At 33.3% G+C, this 22866-nt stretch overlaps 1 protein-coding gene across 3 annotated transcripts; it reads right to left on the reverse strand.

The window, feature by feature from the left end:
* Positions 1-70: 70 nt before the first annotated feature.
* Positions 71-21766, reverse strand: ZSWIM2 (zinc finger SWIM-type containing 2). 3 transcript variants are annotated; one of them, NM_182521.3, is made up of 9 exons: positions 21562-21766; positions 20315-20391; positions 17313-17353; positions 11555-11765; positions 9902-10150; positions 6542-6626; positions 5716-5828; positions 2323-2476; positions 71-1386 (listed from the first exon to the last, which is right to left on the reverse strand). In NM_182521.3, the coding sequence occupies exons 1-9, from the start codon at positions 21724-21726 to the stop codon at positions 580-582; spliced, it is 1902 nt and encodes a 633-aa protein (NP_872327.2). In that variant the 5' UTR covers positions 21727-21766; the 3' UTR covers positions 71-579. The 3 variants fall into 3 exon arrangements, 2 of the variants coding, with proteins under 2 accessions (NP_872327.2, XP_047299451.1); XR_922871.2 differs by lacking the exons at positions 71-1386; positions 2323-2476; positions 5716-5828 and adding an exon at positions 7626-7741; XM_047443495.1 differs by lacking the exons at positions 71-1386; positions 2323-2476; positions 6542-6626 and having other exon boundaries at positions 5722-5828.
* Positions 21767-22866: the final 1100 nt, after the last annotated feature.

Genomic DNA, 22866 nt, shown 5'->3' on the forward strand with positions numbered 1-22866 from the left:
ATAGTGATTGTATCAAGAAATTTGGTAGTACTTATATAAGTTTCTTGAAAATAAAACATTAAGACCATTATAAATGTGACATAGCTGATAGTATTTCATTTTATTTTCATTTTATGTATAAGAAAACTCCTTTATGGAGTTTTTTAAGGTTTTTTTTTATAGGTTTGTGGTAATTACTAGTGCAAGAAAAATGCAAAAAATACAGAAGTACCGGGGAGTAATCCCTGCATGTTATGTGCTACCGTGAAAAATATTTGAAAACAGTGACTCAAAGTAGGAAAAATCTATTTCCTTAATTTAAGTAAAACATTTCTAAAATCAGAGTAAAATAAGATAAAGGCTCTAAAAATTATTCATTATTTATAACATCCTGAATATATTCATGAAGACACCTAATGCTGTAAGTCATATAAGTAATAGAATCATTTCCTTTAAGTGTAGTGAGCTGTTTATAGGTAAGTAGGCAAATTCCAACAGAGAATTTTATATACATTTGTCAAGACTATGTGTGCTTTTTATGTTCTATATAAAACATTTTTTTATATTCAACATTCAAATATTTTCAGATAGTAAACTTTTTCACAATTGAACTCCTTCTATTATTAAAGATAGCTCAGTACTTTTTGTATTTACAGAGTGAGACACAGGCTGTCTTGATAGATGACTACATTTTCGTGTAATTTCCCCCATACAGTTACTATACCTTTTAGACAAACTAAGTTTAGCTGTGCTCCAATTGACAATAAGATTGAAATCCTCTGGAAGTAAAGTTGATCTCTTGTTGTCCTCTCTTATTTTAGTGGCAGGAGTCTTCTTTAGGTTGTGGTTATTACATTTACAGCCTTTGGTCATCCGGCTTAGACTAGTGTGAAATTTTCCACTGATGCATGGACTTTCCATTGCAGTGGGACACACAATATTCTTATGAACAATAGGAGGAAGCAGTGTTTGAGATGGTATTTTCCCAAATGACACAGTGGGTAAATCTTGAAGATACCTGGGAAAATGTTGGCTAATTTTATAATCATAGGTTAATTTTTTTGAATTTGAATTATCTAATTTGATAGAGCATAGATTATCTATTGTTGTATTTTCATAGGCATCTTTTGGGCTTTGAGGTGTATTCAATTCATCAAAATTACACTGAGGTATGCTAGGTAAAATTCCAAGTCTATTTTGTTTTAAGACTAATCCAGTACCAGGAATAAAAAGATCTGGTTCTTTCTGCTTTGATAGATGAATGATGTCTCTGTTTGAAACAGACTGATGTGCTTGTCCATTCACTGCTGAATTTTTCCAAGTTAAAGGGTTATATATAACTTGTCCATCAATAGGGCATGAATTGCACTTGTGGAATAACCAGTTGTCAATACACTTCCTGTGAAACTTTAAAAAAAAGGTAAGCTAATCAGAACTATACCAATCTTGTTTATAATATTATTCAAGTAAATTTCCCCCAGTTTCATAATTTTATGATTAAAAATATTTAGCAAAATTGAAAAATAATTATTTATCAAGTTTTATGAAAATATTTTGAAGAAGTTAACTTCTAAATATAACTATGTAGGGACTGATTTCCATTTTCGATATTAAAATGCAAAGACTTTTATGGATAGCATTTGTAATTTTGTTAAAAATTCTCTACTTAAAGTTATTCATTTCACTGCTACTTATTTCTAATGAAAATTATTTTAAAAGTCATAACCAACTGGGGTTGAAAATGGATCTGATAACAGTAAAATATAAAATAACAAATTAAGTTTTTGAAAATAAAACAATTAGCCATTTTAACTAAGGATGACTCTAAAGCTTTATTACTGAAGCTTTGTTTGTTTACTGAACCAACTTCATTTCAGAAAAAAAGTTGGTTATCAACCACTATATAGTTGCTTATCAATTATATAGTGATCAAGTAGTATTATGCTGATTCTAATGAGTTCATGTGAAATAATAATTATGTCAACTTAGGCATTTCTGTTTCATCTTAAGAATCATAAAAATACATAGCAAAATATTAGTATTCTATAACCTTTTTTCTTTTTACAGATAACTAAAGTAGATAAAGGAATCTAACTTAAAGTACCATTTTATCTTTCCTAGATAGTATATACAGAAATGAGTACTAATTAATATAAAGACATCCTCAGGGAGAAAGCTGCCTTCTCGATAGTCTCTGTGGTAGTTCTTTCTATATGTGCTGTGCAATGTGAACACCTCTGTACAGAGCACAACTCAAAAGTAAAAGGACAGACTTAAATTGTCACTTCATTTGTGAAAACTGACCCTACAGGGAAAGTAAAACTAAAATGATGTGACTTTTACCTTGTGAGTACATGGTAGCAATCTTGTATGTTGACCAAGATGAAATGCCTTCAAACAAAGTAGACACTGGTAGCCTGGAGCAAGCAGCTTACTATTCTTAGTAATCAGTTGGAGAGGCAGTGATCTTACAATGTGTTTTGGTGTGTAAACTTGGCTGAATGAGAATAAGCAGAGACATGAGTGTTTACATGTTATTATAGATCAGGAAGTGATCAATAGCACAGGTAAATAGTCTCTATATAAATAATGCAATCGAACCCTAGGTTTTCTTGAACTAAAGATAATAAATCTCATATATTATAAAGTTAAAAAAATCTATTTTATTGATCCTGAACAATATGGATCCAACTTCATAAAGAACAAAGTTTTTGGCTGAGCATGATGGCTCACGCCTGTAATCCCAGCACTTCTGGGAGACTGAGGTGGGTGGATTACCTGAGGTCAGGAGTTTGAGACCAGCCTGGCCAACATGGCAAAACCCCATCTCTAATAAAAATATAGAAAAATTAGCCGGGCATGGTGGCAGGTGCCTGTAATCACAGCTACTCAAGAGGCTGTGGCAGGAGTATCCCTTGGACCCAGGAGGTGGAGGTTGCAGTGAGCCGAGATCACGGCACTGTACTTCAGCCTGGACAACACAGTGAGACTTCACCTCAAAGAGAAAAAAAAGTTTTAAGTAGTCACATCAAATAAAAATGCTAACCTAAAATTTTTGAGTTTGAGTCGCACTTTAATGTCAATAAAATCAGACCATATACTCAAATTATAATATTTTAGTCTGAGCCAACAATTAGGCAAGTGTTTAGAAAAATACAACCCAATTTACTCTGTCTTCTGGTAGGAAGTGAAGGGTATGGTAAGCCACATTAAATATTCCAGGCTACTATGATAAATTGGTAGATCATAAGAGATAAGGAAATTTGTTTTCATCTGGGGTATATTCTTACCACTTCAATACTGTTAGACTATGTTAATAGTCTAACTCTAAAAGTACCAGCTCCATTTTTTTGTACCAAACATACTGACATAACTAAGATGGTATACTATGAATTAACTGCTATTTGATGCCACTCCAACTGGTAAAACAGAACAACAAATCTTTAAGAGAAAAAAAAGCTTGGTTAAAAGGTCAGATGCATTCCTATCATTCAAAAGTCATTCAGAACAAAGTTCAAATATATTCTTCAGAAAAGTTTGTACTTCTCATTACTCTACAGATATATCCTCACCATATTACAGAAATTGCTTTTACCAGGGTCCTCTAATTTCAATTAAAATGTATATTTTTAGTACTCTTTTAAGGTTGTTACCTACTGTTTCTTATCCTGAAATTCTCTTACTTATTCCATTTTCTCTGCCTAAAATGTCCTTCTTCTCCTAATGTTCTCCTTCTCAACTCCCTGTCCCCCAATATCTCCTAAGTCCAACCGTTAGTTATACAACTTAGCATTCTAACAGGATGAAGTATGATGCTTGTGCAGGGAAAATGGAGTTGCAAAGCCTTTGTATAGGCTCATTTTACGCCCCACAAGAGCTCTGGTTTCCAATGTGTGTGGAGTACCCATGGGCATGGGCTATATATCAACTGAAGTCTGGATACAAACTTACATATACATGTGTATGTATACGTGTGTGGGGGTACAGGTGTATTATAGGCATGTGTATAAATATATATTATATATATATATTTAATGAGAACAAGCACATTTTTTGTTTAGTTGATTCACTGAAATTATTACTTTTAGTTTCTATTTTATCCCATGCTTAAAAAGTCGTGACCCAGCCATCCCGTTACTGGGTATATACCCAAAGGATTATAAATCATGCTGCTATAAAGACACATGCACACGTATGTTTATTGCGGCACTATTCACAATAGCAAAGACTTGGAACCAACCCAAATGTCCAACAATGATAGACTGGATTAAGAAAATGTAGCACATATACACCATGGAATACTATGCAGCCATAAAAAATGATGAGCTCATGTCCTTTGTAGGGACACGGATGAAGCTGGAAACCATCATTCTCAGCAAACTATCGCAAGGACAAAAAACCAAACACCGCATGTTCTCACTCATAGGTGGGAATTGAACAATGGGAACACATGGACACAGGAAGGGGAACATCACACACCGAGGACTGTTGTGGGGTGGGGGAGGGGGAAGGGATAGCATTAGGAGTTATACCTAATGCTAAATGACGAGTTAATGGGTGCAGCACACCAACATGGCACATGTATACATATGTAACAAACCTGCACGTTGTGCACATGTACCCTACAACTTAAAGTATAATAATAAAAAAAAGTTGTCTCTTTTCTATGTGTTTCATAATGTACACAATCTTTTAACATTATACAACATGCTATATTTTCTTTTTTTCTTTCTTTTCTATTTTTTTTTTGAGATGGAGTCTCATTCTGTTGCCTCGGTTGGAGTACAGAATTGCCATTTTGGCTCACTGCAACCTCCGGCTTCCAGGTTCAAGCAATTCTCCTGCCTCAGCCTCCCGAGTAGCTGGGATTACAGGTATGTGCCACCACACCCCGCTAATTTTTTTTTGTTTTTTTTTTAGTAGAGGCATGGTTTCACCATGTTGGCCAGGCTGGTCTCGAACTTCTGACCTCAGGTGATCCACCTGCCTTGGTCTCCCAAAGTGCTAGGATTACAGGCGTGAGCCACAGCGCCCGGCCTAAATTTTCTGTAATTGAACAGGACTATTGCAAAAGGTCTGGAGACCTCTCCACTAATAATGTTCTTAATCAATGTTCTGAAATATAACCAATCTGCTAGGCACTCTTCTTCCAACAGGGTGAAGTAGAGGGTAGAGAGAGGGGGAATGAAGCAAAAAAGACTTTCTTCCCCCAAAGGCCAATTATTTCAAATGCAAATTTCAAATATCTTTGAATCTGTTTTTTATTTAAACATAACTGATGTCAGTTTCAATTTTACATTTATGTCGATGATTATTTGATTACTGAGGAAACTACTGTATCCCTCATATCTAGTATAGTTTCTGGTCAAATTAAAAATAATAGATAACATTATTTGAATATTTATTGTGTTTGTTAACTCATTTCATACTCACAAAATTCCTACAAGGTTGGTTTTAACAATTATTCCCATTTTAAAGATGAGGAAAATGTGGCAGATAGAAGTGAAGTAACTAGTCCACAAGCCACATAGCCAATGTGTAGTTGAACTATGATTGGATTCAAGCAGTCTTACTCTACAGCCCTGCTCTTCAACTGGATGGTACAATGCCACCTAGTATCTAAGTGCTTAATAATAATTAAATAATAAATAAAAGAATAAATAAAACTTATTCAAATTGAGAAGTTATTCAAAGATTCTGTCATACAACAAATATAAAATTTACTGGGAACCTCACCCTTGCTTTTCTTGAAAATGTGACATCTTTTCTTCAATCTCATTTTTAGTATCTATGTATTTTACAACTTCATCTGCTCTTTTTTCTAGTGATCTCCATTTTTGGTTTCTTTTCTGTAATAGGTAAAAGTAGATGTTACTTTGCAAAGTCGTGGATATTTTCATTTTGTGGAGAAAAATTAGTTGGTTGCGTATCAATAATGTGAACAATACACAATATTTTAAGCATATATATTATTTTTCAACATGTTAAAGTACTTACAAATTATTAGTCTCATATTGTATTGCATAGCTACTATAATGGCATTACTTTTTAAGGTAAAAAATAACAATAATTGTGTATGTTTTATTTTATCTTGTCTGGTAAGTAGAAGGTAGTGTTATTATTCAGCATCAGGAGATACTTTTTAAGTGTACGGTTTAAATTATCCCAGTAAAGTTCCATGTTTCATTATTGCTTATGTAAGAAAATTTAAGAGAAAATCATAAATGTTTTGGTTTTACGTTATAAGCCAATTTGTAATGTTGAGAGCTTTTTAAAAACTAATGTTCAAGTTTGATGGCTATAATTTCTGTTCTGAAAATTTATTCATAATGTCATCAGATGTTTCTTATAGTATTAGATTTTATAAATTACCAGTGTAAGAACTGGTTGCTTTGTGCATCCTTATGAAAAAGAGTTCTCCTAAAAATATGGCTTTAGGTTTGTATTAAAAACCAATCAGCTCTGTTCCACAGTGTTATGTATTCTTCTTATTCTTACACTGACTTAGCTCTACAACAGGACAAATAGAAACACTGTATTAGATTCAAGATGGATACTGTACCTCACGAAATGTAAACGTGTGGGAAAGATGGCAGCAGCTATCAAAACATTCCTGGCATAAGTGATATTCTATGCATTCGGTACACCTAAAAATACAAAACATCAAAACACGCAAGAAAAAAAAATCCAATTATTGTGATGGTTTTGGGTGAAAAATTCTGACCAAAACTTCCTGGGAACAATCCAAACATGACAAGGTTCACCTCAAGTCACACTGTGTATTAGTTTCCTGTTGCTGCTGTAAAAATTTACTACAAACTTAACTTAAACTGCACAAATGTATTATCTTACAGTTCCATTGGATAGAAGTCTGAGATGAGTTTCAATGTGTTAAAACCAAGGGGTTGGCAGGGCTGTGTTACTTTTAGGGGGCTCTAGGGGAGAATCTATTTCCTTGCTCTTTCCATCTTCTAGAGTAGGGGTCCCCAACCCCAGGCGCTGACCTGGTCTGTGGCCTGTTCAGAACCGGGACATACAGCAGGAGGTGAATTGTGGGAGAGCAAATCTCCTCCTTCTGTCAGATCAGCGGTGGCATCAGATTCTCATAGGAGTGTGAACCCTATTGTGAACTGCGCACATGAGAGATCTAGGTTGTGTGCTCCTTATGAGAATCTAATGCCTGATGATCTGAGGTGGAACAGTCTCATCCTGAAACCATCCCCCAATAACCCCCATGGAAAAATTGTCTTCCAAAAAACTGGTCGCTGGTGCCAAAATGTTTGAGGACTGCTGTTCTAGAGACTGCCTACATTTATTAGCTTGTGACCCTTTTCCTCCATTTTCAAAACAAACAACGTAGCATCTCTCTGCCTTTCTTCCACAGTCACATTTCCCTCTGACTTTCTTGCCTCCCTCTTCTACTTTTAAGAACCTGTATGATTATACAAGACTTATCCAAGCAATCCAGGATAACCTCTTTATTTCAAGGTCAGTGATTAGAAACCTTAATTTCATCTGCAACCTTAATTCCTCTATGACATACAAGTTCTGGGCGTAAGGATGTGGACGTTTTAGGAAGTCCATTATTTTGTCTACCACATGCCCCTTCCATGATGCCTTCTCAGACTACCTTAGCTTTCATTTACCTCTTTCTCTACATTCTTACAGGATGTACAGTCTATTAGATATTCTGTCATTTGATTATCCAGTGCTGCTTTCCAGTTGTTTCATGAATGCCAGAGTTAGAGTTGGCAGCATACTTCTTGAAAATAAAAATTATATTATTTTTTCCCCACAGAATGGAAAAAGGTAAACATATAAAAGATCTCAATAAAAACTATTGACAAGTCAAAAAAACCCACTTTCCATAAAAGCCCAATCTCAAGGTTATATTGTTTATAAAAATTTTGTCACAAGTAGAGGATTTTAAATTACTTGCAACATAATTTACCAAACTGAAAATATTCTGAGCAGTAGTCAAGTAAACTTATTATTCAAGTTATCAAATATTTAGAAGATTATTGCCATGAGAAATTTAAGAAAATATGTCCCTCAGACATCTTAAAAGAAGCAACTGCTAATTTATTCATTATTACTCTTTGTACATACAGGGAAGATTTTAATAATTAACACCAATGGGTTGGACAAATGGTGCCATTTATTCAATACATCAAAGTATGCTGGGCTAAAAAAAGTTAAGCATCTCTGTATTTTAACATATATCTAGTAATTTCGGAATTAACCTCTTAAAAGATGAAGTAGTTAAATTCTGAAATTCTGATGAAGAAGGAATGAAGAAACTTTCTAGTTAATCTTGTCTCCTACTCAATGTGTTCCTAAAGGAAATGGAAATAGTTTTTCAGACTGATGACTGAAATGTCAGTACTCAAGGGAATGGAAGATGGATGGAGTCACACACATTGAAAATGCATTCTTTAATTTGTAAAAGAGAATGGAGACAGAGATGAGTAATTGTTAGCCAGATCCGTAGAGGAGAAGTTATGAGACAAGAAAAGATTCTCAAAGGGGAGTGTAGGGTCACTAGTGGGCAGGGGGCAGGATAGTGGGCCATGTGTTTACTTAGTAGGAAGAATAATGCCCCAGGACAGAAAGAGCAGTCAGAAAGCTCTGAGTGACAGGAGTGCACTGTCATCAACAACATACCTAAGCAATATTTGTACTAAAGCTGCCTGTAAACCATTTGGGGAACATTGATTGTAAGCACTGAGAATTTTACACTGTGGCCCTCACATGTCCTTGTTCCCCCACATGTCCCAGCCCCCACTTTTACATGTGACCTTATCCCCTCCATGACTGGTCCTATCCACCCCTCTTGAGAAAATTTAAATGCCCATACGATGGCTGCTAATACCAAAGATCAAGTCCTTCCTTTTCCTGGAATCCTCTTTGACCAACATTCCTGAACCTAGCTGAATATCCCTTATTAAAAATTTATAAAAATTCTGTACTTCCACCCCAAGTTAGAATCCTCCCTAGGAGCCTTCTCAGGCCAGCCATTTTCCAGTAAATACTTTTGTTAATAATCAACTTTCTTTTGTGTTACACATACAGAAAACAAAACTAAATTCAAAGGAGAAAGGTATAATTTGCTGTTGGATGTGATAATGTTTTACGGTTTTATGACAGAGTTTTAATATATATATAAATTAGATTGGGCTCATCATAATGTAATTCAAGAAGGCTGAAAAATAAACTGATACATTTCAAAAAAATGTGACAAAGATTGAAATAATGTTTTCTTCTTAATGTACTGTTAACTTAAAATTTTAATTAAGAAAATACAAATTTCCTAGGCATAGCAATTAATTTATGTTTTATCGTGAGAATTGTGGGAAAGTTTGGGGGTTACTCACAGTGAAAATTGTTTGCTCTAATAATTACTATGTTTTTGTAGTTGTTGAAGTATAAGATATGAAATAAAACAAAACCTGTACTCATTGCCATTTGGAGTAGGGGGGACTGGATTAAATATTCAGTCAATCCAGTCAATGTCTCTCTGGCCCAATCTTCGGAATTTTTGGCAATGACTTCAAAGGTAGTTCAAAGAAAGTTACAGAGGGTGAGAGATCCAGCAAGGCTCTAAGCTTGGAAACCTATGTAGGCTAAAGCCACCTATCCTGTGTCCAGAGCTTCTAGGATGGGGTGCTACTTCAGACCCAATCTGGACCAGAGCTCAAACCAATACCCTTGAACAGGAGAAGAAAATAAAACGATTGGAGTTCCTGAGATACTGGACTGAGATAGAAGTCAGTCTGTGAGTCCTAAATAAGCAGTCGTCACACAAGTCAAACAGTATATGCAGGAAGAGGGAGGCTACAGAACGGGTACTCTAATGCTCAAAGTTTCCTGATGTAAAAAAATAAAAAAGAACACATGCTTATAATTTACGGATAACACTTACTTATAACACTTCCCCTCAATTGGAAACTGTTTGCAGTTATTACAGGGAATCCCAAGGTGTTTGTCCAGTCTCTCTTTTTCTGCTGCAGCTACTAGTTTGCTAGAGTTTTTGAATTCCTCCAAAATCAGTTTTAATGGTGCAAACTCTTTCCTGCACAGAGGACATTTCAACATGGAAGTGTTTGATGTACTCTGATAATTAGCTAAGATCTTCATGCATTTTATATGAATACTATTGCCACAGCCAAACCTATGAGAGATAAAATTGAAGTTTACCATTTGTATAGAGCAGTTTTACATATCCATTGTATATATATATATATATTATATATATATTTATATAAATAAAATTTCCTGTGCTACCATCTTTATTCCACAAAAAAATAGATTCTGAACTGATTTTCAGCTATAGCTTGATTACACACACACACTCACTCATTCTAGTAATCTATCATCTTTAATACATCAGAATTCCAAACTTAAATTTTCCTTCATTCCAATGAAATGGTGAAAGATTTTGCATCATTAAAATATTTTCATTTGTAAAGTGAGAATGAATATAGGCTTAACACAAAGGAGAATAATAATTATTATTATTTTAATAAAATGCTTCACTGAGAGCAGGGGTGCCACCATACTTTTCCAGAAGTCACACAATACATGGTAGTACCAAAGAAATATCTGCTGAGAGAAATACCATTTTGGAAAGTAGTTAATAATTTTACAATATGCAATAGAAGCAGACACATGAACAACTACAGTGTGGACAAAAGTTTTGTTAAATTATCAGAAGAAAAAAGAATGATCAGGAGAAAAAAATTGCAATGGAAAATGACTGTCCAAATTTTTCAAGTCCAACTTTATAGTGCTGTGAAGAAAAGTATGAACATTAGACTCTCAATAAAGATTTAAAGTATAATAAAAAAATTAAAAATAAAATAAAATAAAAGTAGACAGCTGATCTGAGGTCTAACAAAACAAGAATTGGTTATGTAGACAGAATGAAAGGGATGAAAGAAATATTATTGTTGGCATTAATGAGTAAAAAAAAAAAAAGATTTGTACATATGTGAAAATTGAATTATTTAGGTTTAAAGATAGAATTTTGAAAAACTAAAAATAATTTTTGTAATTTCAAAGTAAAATAATCTTTACTTTCAGAAAAGTCTTTATAACTATAATAAACCATCACATTTATTCATGTGTATAAAATAAAAACACAGAAATTACTCTACCCTTGTTACTTAAGGTGGGAAGAGGAATAATTGTGGAATTATGTTTCAGTTTTTACCCTTGTAGTGTAGCTCAGAAAGATTTAGAGTAAGAGCATATATTTAGCTCAAAACATATATATACACACACATATATATGTTGCTTCCTAACATATATGTTATATATAATATATATATTTCTATGATATATATTTATATATTATAGATATTATATTTATATTGTAATATATTATAATATATTTATATTATATATATTATATATATGTGTGTGTGTTAGGAAATAAAAGAATGTTAATTAAGTATAAATTAGCAGTAGGTAAAGTTGTCTATTTTTTCCCTATCATGTCTCCTAAGGTAATAAATCAGAAATATGTTTTAGAATTTTTAATTAGTTTTAAGAATCTAAAGAAAAAGTACATCACCTGCAAAAGGTGACAGGAAGCTTTTTCTCTAAAAGTAGCTCTTGACAAATAGAGCAGATATCCTCTGAATCAATTTCCTTCTGTTTAATGTACCCATCTTCTTCAACATGTTCATTTTCGTCATTTGTTCCTGGTTGGGGAGTTTGAACTCGATGTATCCCCCGAAGCAAGTCACTTATCTCTCTTTCTCCAAGACCCAGTTGTAAAGCAGCTAGTGAGAAATCCCAAAGTATTAAAATCCAGTCATAAAATTGGAGCTACAGAGAGGTAACAACTTATGCTGAAAGTTAGAATTTTCTTTCAAATATCAGAGAGACAGTTTTGATTGAATTATCACACTGACATTGACCCCTTCTTTACATTTTTTTCAGAGCCAAAATGTCAGAAAAGAGTCATTTAAAAAAATATAAAAATTATTATTTTTTCTTGTAACTGAAAAAGAGTCAATGCAAACAGTGCACTTGAATATGATAGTGTTCATCCTTGGATTGGTGTTACAATCATGTCTTATACTTCGACCTGTTCACTAGTCCATAAACAAATATTTTGTCAACATATAAGAATATTAAAATAAATGGGACATGAATACATGAGGAGGAAACTGATATCCGAGTAGCTACTGTAATTATTTGTTAGATGAATAAGTGAATTAAATAATAATGGAAGAGCAAGACTTAATTAATTGTGCCTATTTTCTGTTTCTGTTTTGTGTACCTACAAAAGCGTGTCTCATTAGTCTTATCCTCAACAGATTTGGTCAGTGTTTCTCAGGACAATCTATTAGTTACTATATTGCTTGCACCATTGGGATGTGCATTTTTTGAATTCTGTATTTTCTCTATCCTGCAATCCTTAAAGGAATGATGTTCTAAGTGCCTATAGTATTGATCAGGGAATCCTAGATTCTTCATTCCTTGGCCCATCCCTTTGCTGCTTCCCCCTTCCATCTCCTACTCCTGAACATGTCATAATTTAAATGCTAGTTGTTATCGGTCCCCTGCCTTCTATTGATTTTATGTATCTTTTTAATATATATGAATTAAAAATTATTTCCAAGATAATGAAATGCTCTGTTTTTCTGGAAAGACCCCCCCCAACTAAACACTAAAATACTGAAAACATCACAGTTACATTTCAATACAGAAATCGCAGTTCCCTGTCAGATGTTATGGCAAGTGGACTGTGGGAGGGCATCATACATTAATTAACCATTACTTTGCGGAAGAAGGGCTATTTGTCACAAAGACACAGCAACATCTGCTCTCTAAAAAAGGAGAGAAAAATAAAGAACAAAATATTGTGCTTTGGGGAATAAAGATGCACTGGGGCAGCAGAAATACTGAAGAATAAAATTTCATAAAAGAAGCTGGCCACAAACTGTTCTGTGTGGTAAAATGTGAATTGGAAAATAAAAGGAAGAAACAAACTCTTCTAAAATGAATTCGGAAAAATTAATGTATAAGACTATGCAGGAATATTTTGAAAGAGAAGAGCAAGACAGCTAACCGGGACTGACATCACAATGTGTTGTACAAGTAATAAATGTAATAATATATGAGATGCTCTAAATAATAAACATTGTTAAACAAAGAGGAAAAGAAGGATTATCCAATAACTGTTAACTGAGATAACTGGGTGGCAATATGGAGAAAATTAACTCAAACCAAATACCAACCTCCAACTTATACCAAAACAACTACACACTGGTGCTATTATATAATAAAGAACAAAAATAATAAAATGAGCAGAAAAAACTCCAAAGGACTATTGATACTATGGAAGAAAGACAATTTTTAAAGGGTTGAAACAATAAACATGAAAAGAACAGATGATCCAATTTAATAACACAAAAACTCCTATATGTAACAAAATTTAATAAAGCCATAGAGAAAAAACTTATAGCAGATTAGAAAAACATTTGAAAAAAGTAATGCTTATAATAATTAAGAAATGTTTGCAGTTTTATCCTAATAAATAGCCAAAATACAATTCACATAAAACACAAATAGTAAACAAGGCAGTGGAAGATGTTCAATTTTATTTGCATCAAAGGCAAATGAGTTAAAATAAGAATAAAGCACAGACACTAAAACTGACTGAATAAACACTAATAAACGTTACTATTTGTTTGCCTTATGTTATTTCTTTTGTATTTAAAAAAGTTATTTGAAGGCATTTTAGATCTTCCATAAAGGAATGTTAAATAAATATACCAGAGAATAGAAACTATTTTCTTATTTAACTTACCAGGCATTGATAGATTACTTTGAACCTTGTATCTGGTATTTTTCCTGCTTTGTGTGGCTTTCTTTCCAAAATTATAGAAATATTACTAACATGGCAAAATATTTCTATGTGTCTTTATTTTCATATTTCTTAAATATGCTGTTAATATCTTTGTATGCTTAAGTACTATAGTTAAAATGTGCCAAAAACATGAATCCAAAAAACAAATAAAACTTAAAGAAATTGACATATTTCTGAAATCACTGTAAATCAGCAAAAGTATTCTGAAAACATATTTGGCAATACATGGGGGGGAGACATAAAAATATTAACACTTCTACTCCAAAACACAGTAAGACTTTAGGCTAAGGAAATATTTGAAAAGAACAAAAAGCTTCACGTACAAAGAATATAACAAGCAGTTAGAAATAAATGCCTAATAGTGGAAGAATGTTAAATTGCTTATAATATACCATATTTAGTGAAATATTAGCTAGCCTTTAATGACTTTCATTACAGAGATTATATAGCATGAAAATATAAGGTAACAGTGTGATAAAAGCAGAACACAGAATTCTGACAGGCTATTAGGCTGTTTTATGATATATATAAAATCATAAAAGGGAAAATAGAAAATAAAAAGTTTACATCTTTCTGGTGAGAATTTAGAAAAATTTCCTTTAATGAGGTTTTAATTTTATTCATAATTATTTAATTCCAAAAAGAAGATAGTATTCACTAGTTATTGTATTTAAAAGGAACTATCAGGTGGTAAATCTAGCTTTTTTTGGGAAAATGTTTGTGAATAAAAGAATGTTCAGTGTTCAAAAATTAACATTTTTCATAATAATATTCCCATATAATCATTTTTGTCGGTCTTTGAAAAGAGAGTCTCAGGTTTCTTATATGCAACACTGGAATGTAGATAATTGCTTCCAGATTCCTTTTAGAAAAGAATCTCTGAATGATGTTCAAAACATTCCTCTTCCATTACAAGTAACATTCCCTCCACACTTATTTAAACGCTATACATAATCCTAATGAGTAATTATTTATAGTTTTCTTTATTTTTCATGTATGTTTATTCTAGCTTTAATTTAAATGATAAATTTAAGATCGCTAAGACTTTCTTTGAATATTATTAGTCTCTAGTATTACATTGTACACATGGGATTTTCTCAATGCCTACTAATTAAAATTTCTTTTAAATACAAGACACAAAAAATCTTTATTTCAGAAGGAAATATAAACTCTCAAATTATAAAGGATTAATTTTAAACATTAAAAAATTCCCTACTGTAGACTGAATGGTTGCTGTCTTCGATAAGTGCAAAGAATAATAATACAATGTAATATATTAAATTGATCAATACAAAATTGCTGTGTTTGCAGATAAAAGACATTCATATACTAGCAATACATACGATTCAATTTATAAAAAGCACCTAGCAGAGCTCCTAGCTAATATGTGGTACAATAAATATTTGTTGAATTTAATTGGGTAGAACTGCACTGTTGAATATGGTAGCCATTAGCCACAGGTAGCTATTGTGTACTTGAAATTTGACGAGTGTGACTGACAAAACAAATTTTAAATTTTGTTAAATTAAAAATTTAGTTTTTAACTTAAAGCTGATAATCTATAGTTACAGAAAAATGTATAAGTATGTAACAATTTGGATATGTGAATCTATTTTTCAGCTACAAATTTTGAGGAAGTCTATATACAGATCAAATATTTCCATTGAAAATATAGTGTCAGAGTTGAGATCTACTGTAAGTATAACAAACATGCTAGATTTTGAAGACAGTATAAAAAAAGTAAAATAGTTCATAACTTTTATATTGATTACACGTTGACACAATAATATTTTGATGTACTGGCTTAAGTTAAAATACATATTAAAGTTACTTCCCTGTTTCTTTTTACTTCTTATAATATGGCTACTAGAAAATTACATATGTATGTTATATTTCCATTGGACAGCCTCAGTATTGAAGCTTGTGAAAATGATATGGAAGAATAGTGTAGAGAATAAGACTTTGGAGAGAGGGTCAACATTTAACTTCAGTGAATACAATGGAGAAGTCAAAAAGAAAACAATATGTATAAAACCATACAACCTAGTCATCACGCATGAAGGGACTGAGAGAGAGGCTTAAGAAGAGGCTGACATTTTAGAAAGAATCTGCCTATCTAGAAGGTGAAAGACAAAGTGCAAAGTTCAGGCATTGGAAACAAGGAGGCTACACAGAATGGTACTAAGGGCTGAGGAAAGTGGAACAAAGGTAAGAATGAGTATGGAGAAATAGAAACACTTGAGAAATATGTAGGATGTAAAACAAGCAGGATTTGTGGTATGGGTAGATACATGGCAGAAGAGGACGAGAGAGAAAAAAATCAGAGAGAATATCAAGGTTTACAGCTTTGAAGAGAAAATAAAAAGGAAAGCCAGTATGTGAGGTAGGGAATCTAAGAGGGGAGCACAGATGGAGAAATCAGTATTTAAGATGCCCATGGGACCTCCAAATTGAGCTTCCCAGAAAGCAACTGGAAATACTGGTCTGCTGCTAAGATTGGGAATCACTGATACAGAGTTAACAGTTGGAGACATGGAAAATGGGAGACATTTCTAAAAAAATATGTAGAGTGAAAAAAGAGAAAATCCCTGTGAAACACTAATGGTAATTAATTATCTGGTATAATTTTTAAAATATGTTTACTGTGATTGTAATTGTATAATAGCTAGGGGGAAATAAACTTGCCTAAATAAAACCAATTCTTTTTGAATAGAAAAAATTTAAAACTAATTATCACTTTAATTATTCATGAATATCAGAAACATTTATTAATACTTTTAAAAATGCAGTTGTTAGATGGGTCTAGTATTGGTCAAACAATTCCTTAACTGCAGTTAACCCTTTGACAATGACAGTATCTTTATTATAAGATGTACAAATTTAAGTGACCTGTATTGCAATTATTTTTCTTTCTCTCTTATTTTTGAGAACTCTGGAATTTAAACTTATATAAATATATAACTGACTCCAAACTCAATTTAAGTACTCACTTAAAAACTACATTTTACTCTGCTTTTGTTTAGCAAAACAATTTCATTCAGCAAACATTTTTGAATAAAATAATGTGCCATGCCAACAGTCTATTTCTGGGATCTAAAAAAATCACATTTGCTATTTTTCTCACAATTAAAATAATTTTAGACACAGAAACCACTGTAACCTTTTCTTAGAATACATAAATGTTTTCCTACTTAATAACTGGCCATTGTTTCATACCTGTTTTTATTAAGTGCCTATGAGTTTGAAAATGACATATAAAGTTACATTTTTTTAAAGATGAAAAATGTTCCAAGTGTCTTAAGTTTAAGAAGCTGAGCTACTGATAGTTACGATTCCCTAGAAAAGTAACCATCTAAATTTAGAAAATGTTAAATAAAACATTCTTATATTTGTTAACTTCAAAGTAGTAAAATAAAAAAAAAACACAAAAAACCCAAACCCCAAAACTTACATTCATGGTTCCTTGGAAGCTTGAATTTTTTCAACAAGACCCTAACATTCACAAGTAGAAAAAAAATCAAGACATTTATTTTTGGCATAAACTCAAAAGACATTTAAAAATATTTAGAATAGAAATTGAATTATAAGATTTATATTATGGAAAGTGTTATGAATAAACTTAAAAATCATCAATTTTCTGTTATAATAGTTGTTAAACTTATGTTTTAAAATAAGCATATGTGAAAAAAGTATGATTAATGAAAACAAATGACATTTGGTGTGAAGAGATTTGTCAGAGAGAGTCCATGTATTTCTTACGACATACAGTTATTCAAAGGGAAAGGATAATGAGGGGATTTAGGTTTTTATGGTACTGCCTTTAAACTTCTCTGGAAAGGCAGTAATTTTCTGGATAGTGTACCAAATGGCTGTTTTCCTACATATACCTCTCTAACGCATGATATAAAAAAATTTTTTTTAAATTTTACCAATAAAATGGAATGCGACTTTTTAAAAAATGTGGGAAATGCCTATTAAATTATTATTCAAAGATACTAAATATACTTTAGTATATGAAGCACTTTGATTATATTTCCATTTACTTAATGGTTACAATATTGTACAACATGAGTTATATAATAATCAAAAGAGAATACCCTTCCCCTGACATAAAATGAAAATGGAAAAAAAACTATTTTAAATATAATCATAATACCAAATTGTAAGTTGTGAAAGGACCATATTTTATCTTTATGTCAACTAGAGTAAATAACTTGTGTTACTAGATGCTTAATAAAAAGTGATCGAAATAAAAGAGCAGAAAACTTAGTAAAAACATTAGAAATAATTATATAACTTTTTTACTTCTAAAGAAAAGCACTAGAAATGGGAAAGTAAGTCATAATCTTTTCTTAATTTCTTATTTTTTCATGTTAACTATCAAATAAATTAAAATAATATTAATAATTTGTTAGTATGAGTATAGGTAGGCAAAACAAAATGAGTTGATTTGTATTTAAGCTTAAGGAACTTTTTTTTCATTTCTAAAGGTCAATTACCCTACAAATAGATTCTCACACTAGAGGAAAAATTTCAGATTTAATAGACATAATCTTCAATAGAGTTCTACTTCTATCTTGAAAGATTTATAGTTAAAGTCAACAAAATTATACACTGGGGAAATAACATCCTATTCAATAAATAGTGCTGGGAAAATTGCAGCCATATGCAGAAGAATAAAAGTGGACTCATAACTTTCACCATATACAAAAATTAACTCAAGATGGATTAAAGACCTAAATGTGAGACCTTAAACTACAAAAACTCTTGAAGAAAAACTAGGAAACTCTTCTGGACATTGGCCTGGGCAAAGAATTTATGATCAAGTCTTCATAAGAAAATGCAACAAAAAGAAAAATAGTTTAATAGACTTAATTAAACTATAAAGCTTCTGCACAGCAAATGAAACAATCAACAGAGTGAACAGACAACCTAAAGAATGTTAAGAAATATTTGCAAACTACGTATTTGACAAAGAGCTAACATCCTGAATCTATAAGGAACTGAAACAACTCAACAGGAAAAAACCTAATAACCTCATTAAAAAGTGGGCAAAGGACATGAACAGACATTTTTCAAAATAAGATATACAAGTGGCCAACAAACATAATAAAATGCTCAACATCACTAATCATCAGAGAAGTGGAAATTATAACCACAATGAGATATCATCTTATACATGTCATAATGACTATTATTAAAAGGTCAAAAAACAACAAATGTCGATAAGGACCTGGAGAAAGGGGAATGCTTATATACTATTGCTAGGAATGTAAATTAGTTCAACCTTTATGAAAAACAGTACGGCGATTTCTCAAAAAACTAAAAATAGAACTACCATGACCCAGCAATCCTATTCCTGGGTATATGGCTACTGGGCAAGAAATCATTATATCAAAAGATAGCTGAACTCATATGTTTATCACAGCACTATTCACAACAGCAAAGATACGGAATCAACCTAAGTATCCATAATGGTGGGCATAAAAATATACCACATTAATAAAATGTGTGTATAAACATATATATATACACACACACACACATATATATATATATATAATGTAATAGAACTCAGCCATAAAAATTAATGAACTCATGTCTTTTGTAGCAGCATGGATGGAACTGGAGGCCAATATCCTAAGTTAAATAATTCGGAAATAGAAAGTCAAATACTGCATGTTCTCAGTTGTAAGTGAAAGCTAAACAATGGGTCACATGGACATATAGAGTGAAATAAGACATCAGAGACTACAAAAACTGGGAGGGTGGGAAGGGAGTAAGGCTGAAAAATCACTTATTGGGTACAATGTTCACTATTGGGGTGATTAGTACACTATAAGTCCAGACTTCACCACTATGCAATATATGCATGTAAGAAACCTGAACTTTTTATAAAAAATAAATAACCTGAACTATTTATAAAAATACATGAAAATTTAAAGTGATTCATAGTCAAATGTTAACTGAAAAGGAAAATATTTTGAAACTTGACTGCCATAGGCCAATACGGAAAAGGTGAACACTTTCAACCTATGTATACATGTAGAAAATGGAACATTTGATATTCAAGAAAACGTGATTTTGGAAACACAATTTGTGGAAGCACAGCAATATCTCAAATGAACCATATAATTATCAGCAGTGATGGGATCAGGATTTTTCCCCCGTTTTATAGTTAGATTTCACATTTGTACATGAGAATCTAAAATTGATTTTTTCTATTTAAAAGCATTAACATTATAAAATGGTTCTCAATTTAAATGTTATTCAATTTTCAGAATAAAATGAAATACTGAAAAATTTATTGGTAAGCTATGACCATTTTAACTTTATATTCCCCAAACACCAAATTTCTTTAATTTTGTTGTTATTGAAACCATGACAAAGGCAAAATATTTAACACACCAAGATGTTCCTTCATGGAAGATCTTCATTTGAAAAGTCACTTACCAGCAGATATGCTTACAAAGTTCCCCTCCTTTCGGAAATGTGGAACAGTTACAAACGTGAGGATTTCCTAGAAAAACCTTTAAAGGAAAAATGCATACTTAAAAAGACCAGTAAAATTTGAGAGTTAGAGCAAAACTGAGTTAATAAAAGAGATTTGAAGAGGTAATTTAGTTTAGGTGATTCAAAAAGGTTGAATAGATTCTACTGGAGAATCTTAATTCTTGATACTAGTCTCTAGGCTTCATTATTTATCTTTGTTAGCAAATTAACAAATTAGGATGGTTTTAAAGTGACCTGCCCTTAGGCAGGTGAAAATAAATCTAATTCCCAAAGTCAGAGAAGAAAAAAAGCAAATATCAACCCATAAATTCCTCACAGTAAGGAAATTCTACTTTGGGGTGGAGCTAAGCACCTTTTGTAAGGTAGCTCATTTTGGATTTTTGTTTGGTGCATTTGAGTCGGTGAATTTATTTAATTTTATTCAAGAGGACAAAATTTATTCACCAAGACTAGTTTGGCTAAAACTATTAAATACAGTAAGTATTGAAGCAACAAAGTAAAAAAAGATGCTTTAAATAAGCACAGACTAGTAAATTGCATTCAATTCTTAAACTTCACGGCACTAACGTAAAATTTTGTAAGTCAACTCCTAGGAGGTAGTGCAGTGGCTAATTTTTGAGTGGTTAAGGATGGGATATGCAATTATGAAATATCTGTGGTCTTTCAGTAAACTTGAATTTTTATTCATTAATATCTTTCCAAGGTATTGCCATTTAAACCATCCTTTAATAGGGCCTTCATACAGTTTCAGAGTGAGCAAAGAGTAAAGGGAAACCTATTTATTTATTTAGAAAATATTTACAGTATGCTAGCAGATTGTAGAATTTTCATTTCGTTTGATTTACAGGACTAAGGACCACTAACAACAGATCCAAGAACACATGTAATGCCAACCAGGTATTCATACGCCTCTGACATTTTCAAGCCTAAAGATCAAGAGCCATCATCTTTTACAAGAGTTGCAGTTTGGTCTTAACCTCCAAAAAAGAAACTTCTAATAAATACTATTTCCTTCTGTAATTTCACGTATTTTAGAGTCTGGAACACTCGTGGGAAGGCGCTTTCGGGGGTGAGGCAGCAAGTATCCGCAGAGATTGTGATGGTGGCTACGCACATTGGGTATGCCAGTGGGGGAACCTGGTGGGCGGGGATGATGGCCAACTGGGGGCGGTAGGGGCGGTAGTTACTCGGAAATCCATGTATTCCGGCTCCTCCTCCCTCAGCAGGAAGCCAGTGGGGCCCATCTCTCGTAGGAGGTAGATGCTGCTACTCAGCGCCTGGTCTTGGTGCCAGCTGAGCCTCTCGCTCAAGTGTCTTCGCCTTTCAGAGGCCTTATAGCCTCGGCGAAGCATGCTGGGTGCGGGCGGAGGCGGCCCCTCTGCTCGGCTCACTGAGGCGCCAGCCGGTCTCCAAGACGACGGCGTGCAGGCTGGTTGCCTTGGTGACGGTGGTTGGGCTCGGGGTGTCCCGGTGTGCCCTGCGCCGAAGAAGAGCGGGCGACAAAGGTGCGGGATGGCATGGATTCTGCAACTCTCCCCAGCCTCCACTGCGTTTCGAAGCGACGCCCTTGACTGAGGAGTGTTTTTAATAATCATCTGGCCGACTTGGAAGCTGGAGGCCGAAGGCATAGCTGTCAATTTTCTTGCGTTCCTTCTGCTTCCTCGGGGCAGAGATGGTGAAATCTACTTGTTAGGACAGTTGCAAACCCGATTGCAGTCTGGGCTCTGGATGCTGAAATTATCCTGTGATGATTCATCATCTTTAACAGAAAGCCGAGGTTACAGAGCCCAGAGTGATTTTTGACGTTCCACAATATTCCACGAACATTTTCTGATTGCTCACTATATGCATAGATTGACTGAGTCTCTGGGGGAAAGATGTAGAAGACAGGAGTTCTAAACCCTAGGAAGTGCATCACCGGTAGTGGCGCCGGCTGTAGTCCCAGCTACTTGGGAGGAAACCAGATCCTTAAGTCATTTCTCTCTGCCTCTCTCTCTCTCTCTCTCTCTCTCTCTCTCTCTCTCTGTGTGTGTGTGTGTGTGTGTGTGTGTTGGAGGGGAAATGGTCTTCCAAGTGAGGGAACATTTTTTAATTGCATGTTTGGGTAGGGGTGGGTGTTGGGGATGGTACAGCCAGAATGGTGGATGGTGGTACGTCCTGAATGGTGGCACAGAATCCATTGACTATGGGTACATGAAACTTACAAATCTGTATACTAAGGAATAAGAGTTTCAAGGTATGCAATGTTTGTACCTCCAATAATTTAAATTGTCTCTGAGGTTTGTTTACCACATTTTAGGGGGAAAACTGTAATAAAGTATGGGTCAACATTTTGAGTCATAATTACTGAAAAAAGAAGCCACATTACTAGAATCTCTATAGGAAATTAAAAGCAGGAGATAGCACTACTTGGAGGTCCAGTAACCTTTGCCTTGGTGGCCAAAGATAGAGCATATTTGTCCTATTTTATCATGGGCAGAAATCATAACTAG

The sequence above is a fragment of the Homo sapiens genome, chromosome 2 (genome assembly GCF_000001405.40).
Source record: "Homo sapiens chromosome 2, GRCh38.p14 Primary Assembly".
NCBI classification, from domain to species: Eukaryota; Metazoa; Chordata; class Mammalia; order Primates; family Hominidae; genus Homo; species Homo sapiens.

Excerpts from the sequence above, each read along its gene's own strand:
- ZSWIM2 (NM_182521.3), bottom strand. The coding sequence starts at position 21,726 with ATGCTTCGCCGAGGCTATAAGGCCTCTGAAAGGCGAAGACACTTGAGC. Across the intron at positions 20,392-21,561 it reads CGGAATACATGGATTTCCGA|GTTTTTCTAGGAAATCCTCA; the intron begins GTAACTACCGCC and ends TTTCCTTTAAAG. Across the intron at positions 5,829-6,541 it reads ACACGTTTACATTTCGTGAG|AAAAGAAACCAAAAATGGAG; the intron begins GTACAGTATCCA and ends TACCTATTACAG.